Source organism: Homo sapiens, chromosome 5, assembly GCF_000001405.40.
Source record: "Homo sapiens chromosome 5, GRCh38.p14 Primary Assembly".
NCBI classification, from domain to species: Eukaryota; Metazoa; Chordata; class Mammalia; order Primates; family Hominidae; genus Homo; species Homo sapiens.
This window is the reverse complement of record NC_000005.10, coordinates 101,710,637-101,727,321: the sequence shown is the minus strand read 5'-3', so window position 1 is coordinate 101,727,321 and position 16,685 is coordinate 101,710,637. Positions and strand designations below refer to the sequence as shown.

General features: G+C 37.1%; 1 long non-coding RNA gene across 2 annotated transcripts in view, besides 1 other annotated feature; it reads left to right on the top strand.

The window, feature by feature from the left end:
- LOC105379102 (uncharacterized) overlaps positions 1 to 16,685 on the top strand; it is a 328,753-nt gene that overhangs the window by 127,014 nt on the left and 185,054 nt on the right. The gene's annotated exons all lie outside the window — the stretch shown is intronic.
- Positions 8,064 to 8,656: an enhancer, noted in NCBI's record as "NANOG hESC enhancer chr5:101054370-101054962 (GRCh37/hg19 assembly coordinates)". NCBI's record gives its function as "activates a minimal SCP1, AML or CMV promoter by ChIP-STARR-seq in primed H9 embryonic stem cells {active_cell/tissue: H9 hESC(primed)}" and the evidence as "EXISTENCE:reporter gene assay evidence [ECO:0000049][PMID:30033119]".

Sequence of the window (16,685 nt, the reverse complement as noted above, 5' to 3'; positions counted from 1 at the left end):
TCCAACGGAGGTGCTTGTTTCCTGCGGAAAGATATTCCAGTTGAAAGTTAGCTACAGGTGAAATATAAATATAAAAATAATGAAGACTCTAACACTAGACTTACCACAACATCCTGTTTTGCAGATAATTTATGTGTCTAAGTTGGGGTCTTTTTTAAAAATAGTTATTAGGTTAATTGCCTTACTCTTTCTTTTTCCTTCAGGGTGGAGACCTAACTACTACTTCATCATGATAGTCCTTTCATTATTTCATAACAGCTACCACATATGAATGAGAATACCTGTTATGTTGTAGGCATGACATTGGGCTACCATATATATGGAAGCTATTATGAAATGGTATAGTAGATATATATATATGTATATATATGTGTATATATATAATTCTCTCAAGAAAAATATAAGATAGAATTATTTCACTAATTAGAAAATTGAGATTCAGAATGAAAAAAAATAATTTGCCCAGGTTTACTTGGGCTAGCAAGTGACAGAAGAGGATATAAAACAAGGTCTATCAGACTTTAACTTTGTGCCCTTTCAACTAACCTACACATAAAGAATGTATTGAGCATCTGTTCTGTTACTGTTAGATAGGCTTTTACTGAAAATTGTTGATACAGTTAATCAGAAAATGAAAAGTCATTTATCTGTAACAAAACCTACATTTCTCTAATCTATCTTATTGACATATTTATTCTGCTTGTATGATATGTAATACAATAGTATCTGCCTAAGGTGTTGCTTTATGGAGATGACTATATAATAAGTGATGTAGTTTGGATTATTGCTCAGGAAATATTTATATTTTCTCACCTCACTGTCCCAGGTAAGTGGAGTACACTTTTCTATCCTACTGACATTGAGTTTGGCTGTAGAATTTGCACTGATCAATGGGTTGTTTGCAATTGTATTGTGAGCTTAAAATCTGCTTCGGCTGTTGGGGTTGGCCAGTTAAATTCCTGTCTTCCATGAGAAAAGTATGTCTCAGTTACTTACTGGTCCAAAGAATATAAGACACTCATAGACTTTATTATTTTTCTCTTTTAATCGACTAAGGCAGTAAATTAAGTTGATTGATTTCTAATTAAACCACCCTGGCGTATCTGTGATAATACCTACGTGGACATGAAAAATTATTTTATGTATTGCTAGATTTTATTTTCTAATCTTTCGTGTGCCTGAGAGATCATTGTTCCATAGTTTTATTTTTATCTACTTTATTATTATTATTATTATTATTATTATTGTTATTTTGTATAGTTTTGACATCATGGCAATGCTGGCCTTAAAAAACAAGATGAAAAAGTTTCAAAAAAATTTTCTGCATGAGATTTTGTACAGTTGGTAATATTTTTTCCTTAGTTGATAGAATTTGCCAGTAAAGTATTTTGGAACTGAATTTTATTTGTAAAGTGGTTTTTTGGGGTTTTTTGTTTGTTTGTTTGTTTGTTTGTTTGTTGTTTTGAGATGGAGTCTCGCTGTTGTTGCCCAGGCTAGGGTGCAATGGTGGGATCTTGGCTTACTGCAACCTCCGCCACCTGGGTTCAAGCAATTCTCCTCCCTCAGCCTCCCCAGTAGCTGGGATTACAAGCATGCACCACCATGCCCAGCTAATTTTCTGCATTTTTAGTATAGACGAGGTTTCTCCATGTTGGTCAGGCTGGTCTCAAACTCCTGACCTCAGGTGATCTGCCTGCCTCGGCCTCCCAAACTGCTGGGATTACAGACGTGAGCCACCACACCTGACTGGAATGCTTTTTATATATGAATTCAACCTAGTTAAGAGTCATAGGTTTACATCGTAGGTTGTCTATTGCCCCTGAATGAACTTTGGTAGTCTGTATCATTCAAAATGCTTGTCTTTAAGCTAGTAGTAGAATTTATTGCCATAAAGTTGTTCATAACATTACTTTATTATCCTTTTAATGTTAGTTGGAACTTCAATGATGTACCTTTTTTCATTCCTAATACTAATAATTCCTGCCTTTATTTATCTTACTTTAGATTGACTGGAGGTCTGTCAATTTGTTTTTCCTTTTATTAATTATTTCACATGGTATTCATAAATAATAACATCACTTTGTACCACATACATATATAGAACTATAATTGGTCAATGTACAATATAAAAATAAAAATTAAAACAGATTCTGGCAATAATGATTTCTCTATATTTCTATTTGTTTTCAATTTCAGTGGTTTCAGTTTTTTTTTTAATATTTGCATGGAATATTCTTTTCCATCCTTTATTTTTTAAAATCACTTTATTGAGATATAATTCACATGTCATAAAATCCAACCATTTAAGATAAGTAGTTTTTTAGAATATTCACAGAGCTCTGCATTCATCACTGCAATATGATTTTAGAACATTTTCATCATACCCCCAAGACCCATCCATTAACTTTTAATGGTATTTTTACTTTTAAATGATAGTTACATTGTTATATTTAAAGTGGGTTTCTGTAGACAGCATATAGTTGGGTCTTTTTTTCTGCCATTTTGAGTTTCAGCTCTTCACTTCATTATTTCCATTCTAAAGATTTATGTCAATTTTATCTATTATTATTTTTCTTCTTTCTTAAGAAGGTATCATAGATTATTGATTTAAAGTCTTTACTATTTTCTAGTATAAACATTTAATGCTATAAATTTCTCTATAGAGAAGATAATTACTGCTTATCTGCCTCCCATACATTTTTATATTATGTGCTTTAATTTTTGTTCAATTCAAAATATTTCATTTTTTTTCTTCTGACTTGGTCTTTTATCCATGAATTACTTAGTTCTATGTCTGCATGTTTTGAATTTAGAAAATTTTAATGATATCTTTTTGCTGTTGAATTTTAATTTGATTTCATTTTGGCTAGAACATTTAATTTGTAAAATTTAAATTCTTTTACAGTTTTTGGAATTTTATTTTTCTAAGAATATAGTCCACCTTGGCAAAGGAAAAAATGTATATTTTTCTGTTGAGATGTGGATGTTTCTAACATCACACATATTAAACATGGCTAGTACACGTGAGAAAGTGAACTTTCAATTTTATTTAGTTTTAATTCATTTAAATTTAAATTTAAATAGCTGCATTTGGTCAAAGTCTACTATATTGGAGCACACAGTAATATAATTATTAAAATATAAGAAAACTTGACTTTTATATTTACCTTCATTTTTGAAGTTGCCACAGATCTTTGTTTATTTGCAAAAAAAATAGGTTTTCCATAATATTCTACACTTTTAAAAAGTTAATTACTCACACAAGGGGTTCCTGGGGACAGCTGGGTGAGCAGGAGAAAATCCAAGCTGGCTTGGGCTTACTAGAAGGAGTGGGTTGGGCCTATATAGTGACTGGCGTGGAGGGATGGGACTGGGGCATGTTCTCACTAGCAGAAAGTTTAAATTTCCCACTGGCACTAAATGAGAATGTGACCTAACAGTCTTTCTTATCAGTCTGTCTAGATGTAGGACCAAGAACAAAAAAAGAATTGAGGTTTAAAAAAAGTCAACAATCAAACATCAAAAATGAAGTCAGACTTTGATTACACCCTGTTTAACTGTATTCTAAGAAATGCAAAAATGAATTAATTTTTGGCAAGTATTAGCATCATGACTCATTCAAAAGAAATACAGGTGTGAAAAAAATAAGTAAGCAGACACATAAATACATTGAAAAGTAATTTAAATGTTTAAATATGACACTTATAAAAGTAAATTAAAATGGAGATCAGTCATGAAGAATCCCTGAGTAGACAAAGCCAGTTAGGCCTCATAAGTAACCTTAACTTTGCTTGATTTGCAAACATAAACAAAACTTAACCTGAGTCGGCTATTTCCTGTAAATGCCAATATTAAAGAAAAATGAAACTTAAGGCTAACCAATCAGAGGTTATCATAGTTACATAACTAAGAACTTTCTGGGAGGACTGACCAAATAAGACAACGGTATAACTGTAACCAATTAAATATTTGCTTTGCTTTACTTTTACGTTCACCCTATAAAAGTTCTCCCTTTGTGTTAGTCCATGGAACCTCTGAACCATTGCTAATTTGAAACTGCATCATTCATAAATTGCTGTTTGACTAAATCCATTAAAATTTTATTGTGCCTCAGTTTACCTCTTAACCCAAAGAGGTCACAAAAGAAATTCCACTAGAACTGACATTAAAAAAAAATACCCTGGAGGCCGGGCATGGTGGCTCACGCCTGTAATCCCAGCACTTTGGGAGGCCAAGCGGGGTGGATCACAAGGTCAGGAGTTCAATACCAGCCTTGCCAAGATGGTAAAACCCCGTCGCTACTAAAAATACAAAAAATTAGCTGGGCACGGTGGCAGGAACCTGTAATCCCAGGTACTCGGGAGGCTGAGGCAGGAGAATCACTGGAATCCGGGGTACGGAGGTTGCAGTGAGCCAAGATTGCACCACTGCACTCCAGCCTGGGTGACAGAGTGAGACTCCGTCTCAAAAAAAAAAATACTCTGGAATTTCTTTAGCTTTTTTTTATCTCCCTGAAGTCCCACACGTATTGCTCATAACTTTTTTTTTAACTCTTTTCCTTCAAAATTGAAGCTTTATTCTCTCTCTCTCTCTCTCTCATAAAACTCTACCTGTGTTAGCTTTCCCATCTACTTTCTCATCTATTTTTGTTCCATACAATGAAGTCCTTTATGTTGTAAGTAACATCCTTTCCTTTCTTATGTTAATGAGCGTCACTCAATTTAGGCCCTTTTATTACTGCAATTCTCTTTTTAAAGTTGTGTAGTATTATAAAGCCAACTGCCAAAACTTGATGATGTAAAACTGTAAAAGCAACAAAAATTCCCTATATCTCATTATTCTGTGGGTTAACTGAGCGCAGCTGAGTGGTTCTTAAACGTCAGGTAGTGTTGTCAGGGACGAGATCATTGCAAACTCCATTGAGTAGGGATTTTCAGTGAGGCCCATGCACACAGGTGGCAATTATTGCTGGATTTATTTTCAGATTTCAGTTTGGGCTCAACCAGTGTGCTTTGATTCTCCTATAGGTAGCTTCTCAACAATGCTTGGAGTTCTCACAGCATACCTGATGAACTCCAAGAAGGAGCCTTCCAAAATTTAAAGTTTGAAGCTGCTGAATTCTTAAGGCCCATCTTCAGAAGTTGTACAGTGTAATTTCTGCCTCATTGTATTGGTGAAAACAATTTACAAAATAAACTCAGATTCCAGGAAAAAGGAAATAGATTCAAACTCTCAGTAGGAGAAATGACAAAGACATTGCAGCCATCTTTAATGCCATATCTTTGTATAACTTTTTCCACAAAAACAAAAATTTGTTTATGCTGATTCAAGAGACATTCCTTTTTTTTCAAGCAAGAAAGGTGAAAAGCAATGGAGACTTAAACATTGCCATATGTTGACAATGCCAAAAGGTTTATCTTTTATATTTCATAAATCTAGAATAATCTCACAACCAATAGTAGGTAATACTTATAATTGGCAGCATATATTTTCTTTATAAATGATATATGTTAAGATTTAGTTTACAATTAATAGTGGCTTAGATTTGATGCAATATGATAATTTGGGGTTTGTATGTGTCTACTCAGCATTAATTATTCTCTTTTCAAGCTACAAAAACTAGAAATTCTATTCTATGCCCAATGTTGTTATTCTTTGTGTGCTGTACATGTAGTCTCTGCTACAATAATACCTTTGACAGAAGGAAAAAGAATCTATGAGAAGACCAACTATATATGTCAGGGTATTAGTCAAATAGCCTAGGCTACGCTGCTTTAAAAAAAAATCCCCAAATCTGTGGCTTAGTACAATGAAAGATATTTTTCTCCCATGCCACCTGAACTTTGCTGGTTGATGAGGAGCTTCGTTTTATGCAGAGTCATTCACACACCCATGTTGATAAGGTGTTTGTTCACATTTTATCCAGTATCAGATGATCTTATAGTATGGGAGCAAAAAAAAGAGATGAATGGTGACACAGGTACAGACTCTTCGGCTTTTTTCTATTCCTTTTTTTTTTTTTTTTTTTGAGACGGAGTCTCGCTCTGTCACCCAGGCCGGACTGCGGACTGCAGTGGCGCAATCTCGGCTCACTGCAAGCTCCGCTTCCCGGGTTCACGCCATTCTCCTGCCTCAGCCTCCCGAGTAGCTGGGACTACAGGCGCCCGCCACCGCGCCCGGCTAATTTTTTGTATTTTTAGTAGAGACGGGGTTTCACCTTGTTAGCCAGGATGGTCTCGATCTCCTGACCTCATGATCCACCCGCCTCGGCCTCCCAAAGTGCTGGGATTACAGGCGTGAGCCACCGCACCCGGCCTCTATTCCTATCTATTCCACAATCTATTCATCCTAATAAAGATGGCTTCACACAAATGGAAAAGGAGCTGGATTTGTGGGGTGGCAGATCGAATGTTGGGTGTGTATATCTCTCTCTACATTGGCCTGCATTTCTTCTAGCCAGTGTGATTAAAAGGACTTCAGGAATTTTCATATTTAAAAAAAGTTACACTCTAAGTCAATTATTCATGTTAAAATGTCCATTACTAAAGATTTGTTACAGTGGATTAAGAAAGTATCTCTCATTAACACAATTATGTGACTATGTTCTGAATGCTGAACACTTTGAATCATTATTAATATTAACAGGTTGATGTTAATAAAGTTGTGACAGGTTTCTTTATGAGTGAACTTAGTAAAAAATAACTTGATATTGGGAAAATCTAGATTCAACTCAGTAAAGTCAGCCTCAAGTAGTATGTTTATATGATCCCTGCAACTCAGGCAAGGATAATGGTGCTGGGCTTTTCAGAGTGACAGAGGGAACATATTAAGAGCATGTTAAGTAAGTGGTGACATGATATCAAAATAAATCTTACTTTAAGTGACTTGCTCCCCACAGTAACAACTAAAAGAAAACAATTGTGAGAAATGTTGGTGGTGTTCTCCAAATATTTCTAATTCTCTGCCTTCAGGGTTCATGCAAATTTTTACTTTCTCACCTGTTATTATGAATGGGGCCTGAATCAGGTCTGATTCATGGACATGTTATCAGTGTGGTCACATGGTTCCCTGGTTAGAATATTCCAGGCGTGTAAGAGAGCCCAGACATAAGCAGAAACTACCGCTAGATGACCACACCTGACTACAGATGAGTGAGCGATCCCCTCTGAGAATGCTTAACTCTTGTAGAGCTGCCCAGGTTGCCCATCAGCTTATGAGCTACTGAATTTTTGTTATTTGGCAACAATAGCAAACTGATACAAAGACCTGGGAGATGACTGTTATCACAGCACATTGACTGCAATGCCACTTTTTCTGAGCACTGATTATGTGTTCCAGATACTGTTCTAAGCCATTTTTATATTATCACATTTGAGCCTTGTGCCAATTAGACTGCTATGGTATTATCCTCAGTTTACTGTTAAGATAATTTAAGTAGCAGAAAACCAGCAACTCATCTAAGGATTGTAATACGTATGGCGTAATGGAAAAGTGGGCAGTTTCATATTTAGGCCTGTTTGTATATTACTGCATTATTTTGCTCAAGGTCACAGAAATCTATTTGTATGACATTAGCAAATTGTTTTCTTTTGGCTCGGCTTTCCTCAATTTGGATTGGTGATGTCAAGGGCCTTCCAGCTAAGAATTTAGTTTCATATTCTGCTCTACAATTTTGATTCAGGCTAGGGGAACAGCAAATGTGGTAGATGTAAATTTCCATGTAACAACATTTTGTCTGATTAAAGAGACAAATCCTTAGGTGTTCTACTGTGACTCTTTATTGTGCAGCTGTATGATGGCTCCCTTGGCTCTCACCCTTTGTCCCACAGCCTGGGCACTCACCCTGATCTCTCCTTTTGGGGTCAGCTAGCATGTATTCTGTTCTGGGTAGTTTCTCTACTCCAAGCCTGCAAAAGGTGACAAGTAATTTTCCAGAGGATATTTAGTGACAATTACTAAAAGAAAAGATTCAATGAGAAAAATGATAAACTAAAGTAGAAACAAAACAAGATACAATAAAATGAAATTAAATAAAGAACATGGAGAAAACTTCCAGGTCTGACACAGGCTCAACGATTATTCCCCAACCCCTTACTAAAATGGTAACTGGAGGTGTATTGAGATTTTACCATAGCCTTACGTTCTCTGGTGTGAGGTTGATCAAACTGACCTCATCTTTCAGATTCCTTGGAAATGACCACATGAACCCTCTTCTTTTTCTCAGAACTTAAGTTACAAGACACATGGATTACCAAAGACTGATGCACTCCTGCCTTATATTTTTAAAGCCACCTACAATGAGTTGAAAGAAGACCTCTAAGCCAATGGTTCTCAAATTTTAGTTTGCATCACAATAAAGACTTGTTAAAACATAGGTTGCCAGATACCGGCCTGACGTTTCTTATTTAATTGGTCTGTGCGGGGCCTGATGAGAATCTGCATTTCTAACAAGTTGCTGAGAGATGCTAATATTGCTAGACTGGGGACCAGTGTTGAAACCCCTGCCTTGATTTTTTTTTTCCTTAGCTTAGTTAAAATGTGTTATCTTACAATTTAGTCTTTCTCTTGAAATTATAGCTATTGGTGCTTTTTACATTAAGTAAACACAGTTTGCTGTTTCTATTTTCCAGTTTCAAGGGTACCACAGCATTCATAATTGTTGCAAAATTTCAAAGCAGATCTACTATAATTCTAGTTATTCTTTAGATTCAGATACACTTGGGAAAAATTGTAGTTACAGTTTTATAGGAAGAAGACTTGGTAGTAGGGTGAATCTCAACTTATTTTCAGGCTATAGTTTTAAAACAGTACTTCATGTAAATCTAGATGGCTCTGATAATTGAAAAAGGAAGAAAACTGCAAATTAATTTGTCCCCTCAATAACTGTGTAAAAACAGACATTCCACAATGGTGTTAACCCCAGGAGATCATGGTGAAAAATAGCCCACTGGTGTTTTGATTACCACAATGAGTTTGTGGAGGCATCACTGATATATGGTTATGATTGTGTATTCACTCACAACTTTATAGAACTCCATTATGAAAGTTTATAGCAGAGTTGCATCATTATATGTAACACGAGCAGCTAGAAAACCCTGAGGAAACATAGTTAAGTAGAGGATTAAATAGCTTTTTAAAAATGGATGGAATAGTCTAGTATTAATTAGAGAAAGGATTATTTTCAACTATGAAAGCCAAGGCTTTCTGTCACTTGCCTATGGGGTTATGGCTCTCTCTGCAATGGAATCAATACAAGACAAGTTTTTGTAAACTGCCTATTTGAAGGACTGAGGAAAACAAATATACATTTTCACCAAAGTAATCAACTTGTAGATTGGCATCCTAACCATCTTCTATGGAAATTACCAATCCCAGTGGCATGGCAGCTGTCACCTTTCTTCTCAGTAAGGGGCCAGCTGTTACTGTCATTGGACTCAAATTCTCTGTCAAACACTGATGTGGAGCACAAAGTTAATGTGTCTCTCAGTCCAATTTGAAAAGTATCTCACATTAATGTATTCCTTTAATTATCCTTTAAAGTAAAACATTCTTTTTATCAAATTCTCTTTTCCCGTAGACATATAATCCAACTGGTATAGTGTTCATTTGTGAAGGAAAAATTAAACCAGAATATATAATAGAATCATGCCAGTATAATTAATACCTTAAAATTAACTATATTATATGTAATTAATATTTTTAAATTACTCACTAAAATGACTAAATTAAATGCTTTTTCTTTAATAATATGAAAGGTTGGAGTGGCTAGGAAGATTTATATATGGCACAATAAATAAAAGGTGAAAAAAGTTAAATAAAACAAAATCTGGACATGCCAGCTTAACTCCTAAAAGGGTACTAGACTTCAAAGTCACGCCTATTTTTTGATGCTGAGAGAGCAGGTGTTGGGCCCGAGCATGGCTACTGAGCACGCTTGCATATTCTTCCCAAGTGAGCCAAGAATTCATGGCCCTGATGCCTCTTTTCCCAAGCCATTTCTCAGATTTGTGTCTGCAGTGATAAACCTTAAGGGATGAGATAATGTGTCTCATCAGGATAAAAAAGAGACATTCTCCATATTCCATTTCTATAATGTAGCTTGCTGAAAGTACAAACTCCCTCTGGGCCTGTGCATGCCCTGGGTATGATTTAGTGGCAAGATGAACCTAATCAAATATACTGACACTCAGCCTGATTGTTGTGCAGTGAGCAAAGAGGACTTTGTCTTTGATCCAGGAGATTCTTATCTTCTGTCTAGAAGATAAGAATGTTGACTAGAAACAACAGTAATAGGCAGTTTTTAGAAGTAAATTTGCTAATTTAATAGCTATACCAATACAGCTATGCAAATGATACAAAACACAGTCACGTGTAAATTAAGAGCACATGTACATTCCTAGAGTTGCCTGTTTCTGGACACCATTTAATTAAAGTAATTAAACATTGTAAACCAAAAATAAAATCCTAAGTCCCTCACCAAATAAATCGAGAAAAACCTTAAAAACAAAGTTCCCAGCCATGATAGGACAGAAAGTCCGACAGGCTCATTATGCCCCCTCTCTTTTGCAGTTTAGACACAACAACTAACCTCATGAGACTGACAGAACAGACTCTTTGTGGCAATAAGATACAAAATTATAAACAGGACCTAAGGCTATACCAGGCAAGGGTTAAGTCATGCACTACACTTAAAGAATAAACTGTATTCTATCTGCCACAAGGTTTTTTTTTTTCCTTTTTTTTCTAGCAGCTAAATAAGCACTGACCTTAAGATAAGCAATATTAAAACAATTACAAATCATCTACCTCACAGATGATGACTAACTGAAACCCTGTTCCACCAGCCATAACTACAACTTTGATTGGACAAGAAACCGATTTCATTAACTTTCTCCAGTTAAGAAGACTACTGACAGAAGATGGCCAAATAGGAACAGCTCCAATCTGCAGCTCCCAGCGTGATTGATGCAGAAGAGAGGTGATTTCTGCATTTCCACCTGAGGTACCAGGTTCATCACATTGGGACTGGTTGGACAGTGGGTGAAGCCCATGGAGGGTGAGCCAAAGCAGGGCGGGGCATTGCCTCACCCAGGAAGCACAAGGGATCTGGGGATTTCCCTTTCCTAGCCAAGGGAAGCCGTGACAGACTACCTGGAAAAATGGGACACTCCCACACAAATACTATGCTTTTCCCAAGGTCTTAGCAACTGGCAGACAAGGTGATTCTCTCCCGTGCCTGGCTCAGTGGCTCCCACACCCATGCAGTCTTGCTCACTGCTAGCCCAGCAGTCTATGATCAATCAGTGAGACTGCAGCCTGGCTGGGGTAGGGGCGTCTGCCATTGCTGAGGCTTGAATAGGTAAACAAAGTTGTCAGGAAGCTCGAACTGGGCAGAGCCCACCACAGCTGAACAAGGCCTACTGCCTCTAGACTCCACCTCTGTGGGCAGGGCGTAGCTGAACAAAAGGCAGCAGACAACTTCTGTAGACTTAAATGTCCCTGACTGACAGCTCTGAAGAGAGCAGTGGTTCTCCCAGCACAGTGTTTGAGCTCTGAGAACCGACAGACTGCCTCCTCAAGAGGGTCCCTGACCTCCGTGTAGCCTAACTGGGAGACACCTCCCAGACAATTCATATAAGTGGCTGTCCCTCTGGGACGAAGCATCCAGAGGAAGGATCAGGCAGCAGTATTTGCTGTTCTGCAATATTTACTGTTCTGCAGCCTCTGCTGGTGATACCCAGGCAAACAGGGGCTGTAGTGGAACTCTAGCAAACTCCAACAGACCTGCAGCTGAGGGACTTGACTGTTAGACTGTTAGAAGGAAAACAAACAAGCAGAAAGGAATAGCATCAACATCAGCACAAAAGGTCATCTACACCAAAACCCCATCTGTAGGTCACCAACATCAAAGACCAAAGGTAGATAAAACCACAAAGATGGGGAGAAACCAGAGCAGAAAAGCTGAAAATTCTACAAATCAGAGCGTCTTTTCTCCTCCAAAGGATTGCAGCTCCTTGCCAGCAACGGAACAAAGCTGGACAGAGAATGACTTTGACGAGTTGACAGAAATAGGCTTCAGAAGGTTGGTAATAACAAACATCTCCGAGCTAAAGGAGGATGTTCAAACCCATCACAAGGAAGCCAAAAACCTTGAAAAAAGACTAGATGAATGGCTAACTAGAATAAACAGTGTGGAGAAGAACTTAAATAACCTGATGGAGCTGAAAACCATGGCACAAGAACTTCGTGACGCATGCACAAGCTTCAATAGCTGATTCAATCAAGTGGAAGAAAGGGTATCAGTGATTGAAGATCAAATTAATGAAATAAAGCAAGAAAACAAGATTAGAGAAAAAAGAGTACAAAGAAACAAACAAAGCCTCCAACAAATATGGGATTATGTGAAAAGACTAAATCTACATTTGATTGGGGTACCTGAAAATGATGGGGAGAATGGAACCAAGTTGGAAAAAGCTCTTCAGGATATGATCCAGGAGAACTTCCCCAACATAGCAAAGCAGGCCAACATTCAAATTCAGGAAATACAGAGAACACCACAAAGATACTCCTCGAGAAGAGCAACCCCAAGACACATAATTGTCAGATTCACCAAGGTTGAAATGAAGGAAAAAGTGTTAAGGGCAGCCACAGAGAAAGATCGAGTTACCCACAAAGGGAAGCCCATCAGACCAACAGTGGGTCTCTCAGCAGAAACCCTGCAAGCCAGAAGAGAGTGGGGGCCAATATTCAATATTCTTAAAGAAAAGAATTTTCAACCCAGAATTTCATATCCAGCCAAACTAAGTTTCATAAGTGAAGGAGAAATAAAATCCTTTACAGAAAAGCCAATGCTAAAAGATTTTGTCAACACCAGGCCTGCCTTACAAGAGCTCCTGAAGGAAACACTAAACATGGAAAGAAACAACCGGTACCAGCCACTGCAAAACAGGCCAAATCATAAAGACTATTGATGCTATGAAGAAACTGTATCAATTAGCAGGCAAAATAACCAGCAAACATCATAATGACAGGATCAAATTCACACATAACAATATTAACTGTAAATGTAAGTGGGCTAAATGCCCCAATTAAAAGACACCAACTGGCAAATTGGATAAAGAGTCAAGACCCGTCAGTGTGCTGTATTCAGGAGACCCATCTCACATGCAAAGACACGAATAGGCTCAAAATAAAGGGATGGAGGAATATCTACCAAGCAAATGGAAAGCAAAAAAAAAAAAAAAAAAAAGCAGGGGCTGCAATCCTAGTCTCTGATAAAACAGTTTTAAACCAACAAAGATCTAAAGAGACAAAGAAGTGAATTACATAATGGTAAAGGGATCAATTCAACAAGAAGAGCTAACTATCCTAAAAATATATGCACCCAATACAGGAGCACCCAGATTCATAAAGCAAGTTCTGAGAGACCTACAAAGAGATTTAGACTCTCACACAATAATAATGGGAGATTTTAACACCCCACTGTCAATATCAGACAGATCAACGAGATGGAAGGTTAACAAGGATATCCAGGACCTGAACTCAGCTCTGCAACAAGCAGACCTAATAGACATCTACAGAATTCTCCACCCAAAATCAACAGAATATACATTCTTCTCAGCACCACATCACACTTATTCTAAAACTGACTATATAATTGGAAGTAAAGCGCTCCTCAGCAAATATAAAAAACAGAAATCACAACAAGCCATCTCTCAGACCACAATGCATTCAAATTAGAACTCAGGATTAAGAAACTCACTCAAAACCACTCAACTACATGGAAACTGCACAACCTGCTCCTGAATGACTGCTCGGTAAATAATGAAATGAAGACAGAAATAAAGATCCTCTTTGAAACCAATGAGGACAAAGACACAATGTACCAGAATCTCTGGCATACATTTAAAGTAGTGTTTAGAGGGAAGTTTATAGCACTATATGCCCATAAGAGAAAGCAGGAAAGATCTAAAATTGACACCCTAACATCGCAATTAAAAGAACTAGAGAAGCAAGAGAAAAAAAATTCAAAAGCTAGCAGAAGGCAAGAAATAACTAAGATCGGAGCAGAACTGAAAGAGATAGAGACACAAAAAACCCTTCAAAAAATCAATGAATCTAGGAGCTGGTTTTTAGAAAAGATCAACAAAATTGATAGACTGCTAGCAAGACTAATAAAGAAAAGAGAGAAGAATCAAATCAATGAAATAAAAAGATAAAGGGGATATCACCACTGATCCCAAAGAAATACAAACTACCATCAGAGAATACTATAAATACCTCTATGCAAATAAACTAGAAAATCTAGAAGAAATGGATAAATTTCTGGACACATACACCTTTACAAGACTAAACTAGGAAGAAGTTGAATCTCTGAACAGATGAATAACAGGCTCTGAAATTGAGGCAATAATTAATAGCTTACCAACCAAAAAAAGTCCATGACCAGTTGGACTCACAGCCTAATTCTACCAGAGGTATAAAGAGGAGCTGGCACCATTCCTTCTGAAACTATTCCAATCAATAGAAAATGAGGGAATCCTCCCTAACTCATTTTATGAGGCCAACATCATCCTGATACCAAAGCCTGGCCAGAGACCCAACAAAAAAAGAGTATTTTAGACCAATATCCCTGATGAACATCAATGTGAAAATCCTCAATAAAATACTGGCAAACTGAATCCAGCAGCACATCAAAAAGCTTATCCACCATGATTAAGTTGGCTTCATCCCTGGGATGCAAGACTGGTTCAACATACGCAAATCAATAAATGTAACCCATCACATGAACAGAACCAATGACAAAAACCACATGATTATTTCAATAGATGCAGAAAAGGCCTTCGACAAAATTCAGCAGCCCCTCATGCTAAAAACACTCAGTAAACTAGGTATTGATGGAACGTATCTCAAAATAATAAGGGCTATTTATGACAAACCTACAGCCAATATCATACTGAATGGGCAATAGCTGGAAGCATTCCCTTTGAAAACCAGCATAAGACAAGGATGCCCTCTCTCACCACTCCTATTCAACATAATGTTGGAAGTTCTGGGCAGGGCAATCAGGCAAGAGAAAGAAATAAAGGATATTCAGGTAGGAAAAGAGGAAGTCAAATTGTCTCTGTTTGCAAATGACATGATTGTATATTTAGAAAACCCCATTGTCTCAGCCCAAAATCTCCTTAAGCTGATAAGCAACTTCAGCAAAGTCTCAGGATACAAAATCAATGTGCAAAAATCACAAGCATTCTTATACACCATTAACAGACAAACAGAGAGCTGAATCATGAGTGAGCTCCCATTCACAATTGCTACAAAGAGAATAAAATACTTAGGAATCAAACTTACAAGGGATGTGAAGGACCTCTTCAAGGAAAACTACAAAACACTGCTCAAGGAAATAAAAGGGAACACAAACAAATGGAAGAATATTCCATGCTTATGGATAGGAAGAATCAATATCATGAAAATGGCCATACTGCCCAAAGTAATTTAAGATTCAATGCCATCCCCATCAAGCTACCAACGACTTTCTTCATAGAATTGGAAAAAACTACTTTAAAGTTCATATGGAACCAAAAAAGAGACTGCATTGCCAAGACAATCCTAAGCAAAAAGAACAAAGCTGGAGGCATCATGCTACCTGACTTCAACCTATACTACAAGGTTACAGTAACCAAAACAGCATGGTACTCGTAGCAAAACAGAGATATAGACCAATGGAACAGAACAGGGGCCTCAGAAATAACACCACACATCTACAACCATCCAATCTTTGACAAACCTGACAAAAACAAGCAATGGGGAAAGGATTCCCTATTTAATAAATGGTGCTGGGAAAACTGGCTTGCCATATGTAGAAAGTTGAAACTGGATCCCTTCCTTACATCTTCTACAAAAATTAATTCAAGGTGGATTAAAGACTTACACATAAGACCTAAAGCCATAAAAACCATAGACGAAAACCTGGGCAATACCATTCAGGACATAGGTATGGGCAAGGACTTCATGACTAAAACACGAAAAGCAATGGCAATAAAAGACAAAATAGACAAATGGGATCTAATTAAACTAAAGAGCTTCTGCACAGCAAAAGAAACTACCATCAGAGTGATCGGGCAACCTACAGAATGGGAGAAAATTTTTGCAATCTACCCATCTGACAAAGGGCTAATATCCAGAATCTACGAATAACTCAAACAAATTTACTAGAAAAAAATACCTCATCAAAAAGTGGGCAAAGGATATGAACAGACACTTCTCAAAAGAAGACATCTTTGCAGCCAACAGACATAAGAAAAAATGCTCATCATCACTGGTCATCAGAGAAATTCAAATCAAAACCACAATGAAATACCATCTCACACCAGTTAGAATGGTGATCATTAAAAAGTCAGGAAACAACAGATGCTGAAGAGGATGTGGAGAAATAGGAATACTTTTACACTGTTGGTGGCAGTGTAAATTAGTTTAACCATTGTGGAAGACAGTGTGGTGATTCCTCAAGGATCTAGAACTAGAATTACCATTTGACCCAGAAATCTCATCACTGGGTATATACCCAAAGGATTCTAAATTATGCTACTATAAAGACACATGCACACATATGTTTATTGCAGCATTATTCACAATAGCAAAGACTTGGAACCAACCCAAATGTCCACCGAAGATAGACTGGATTA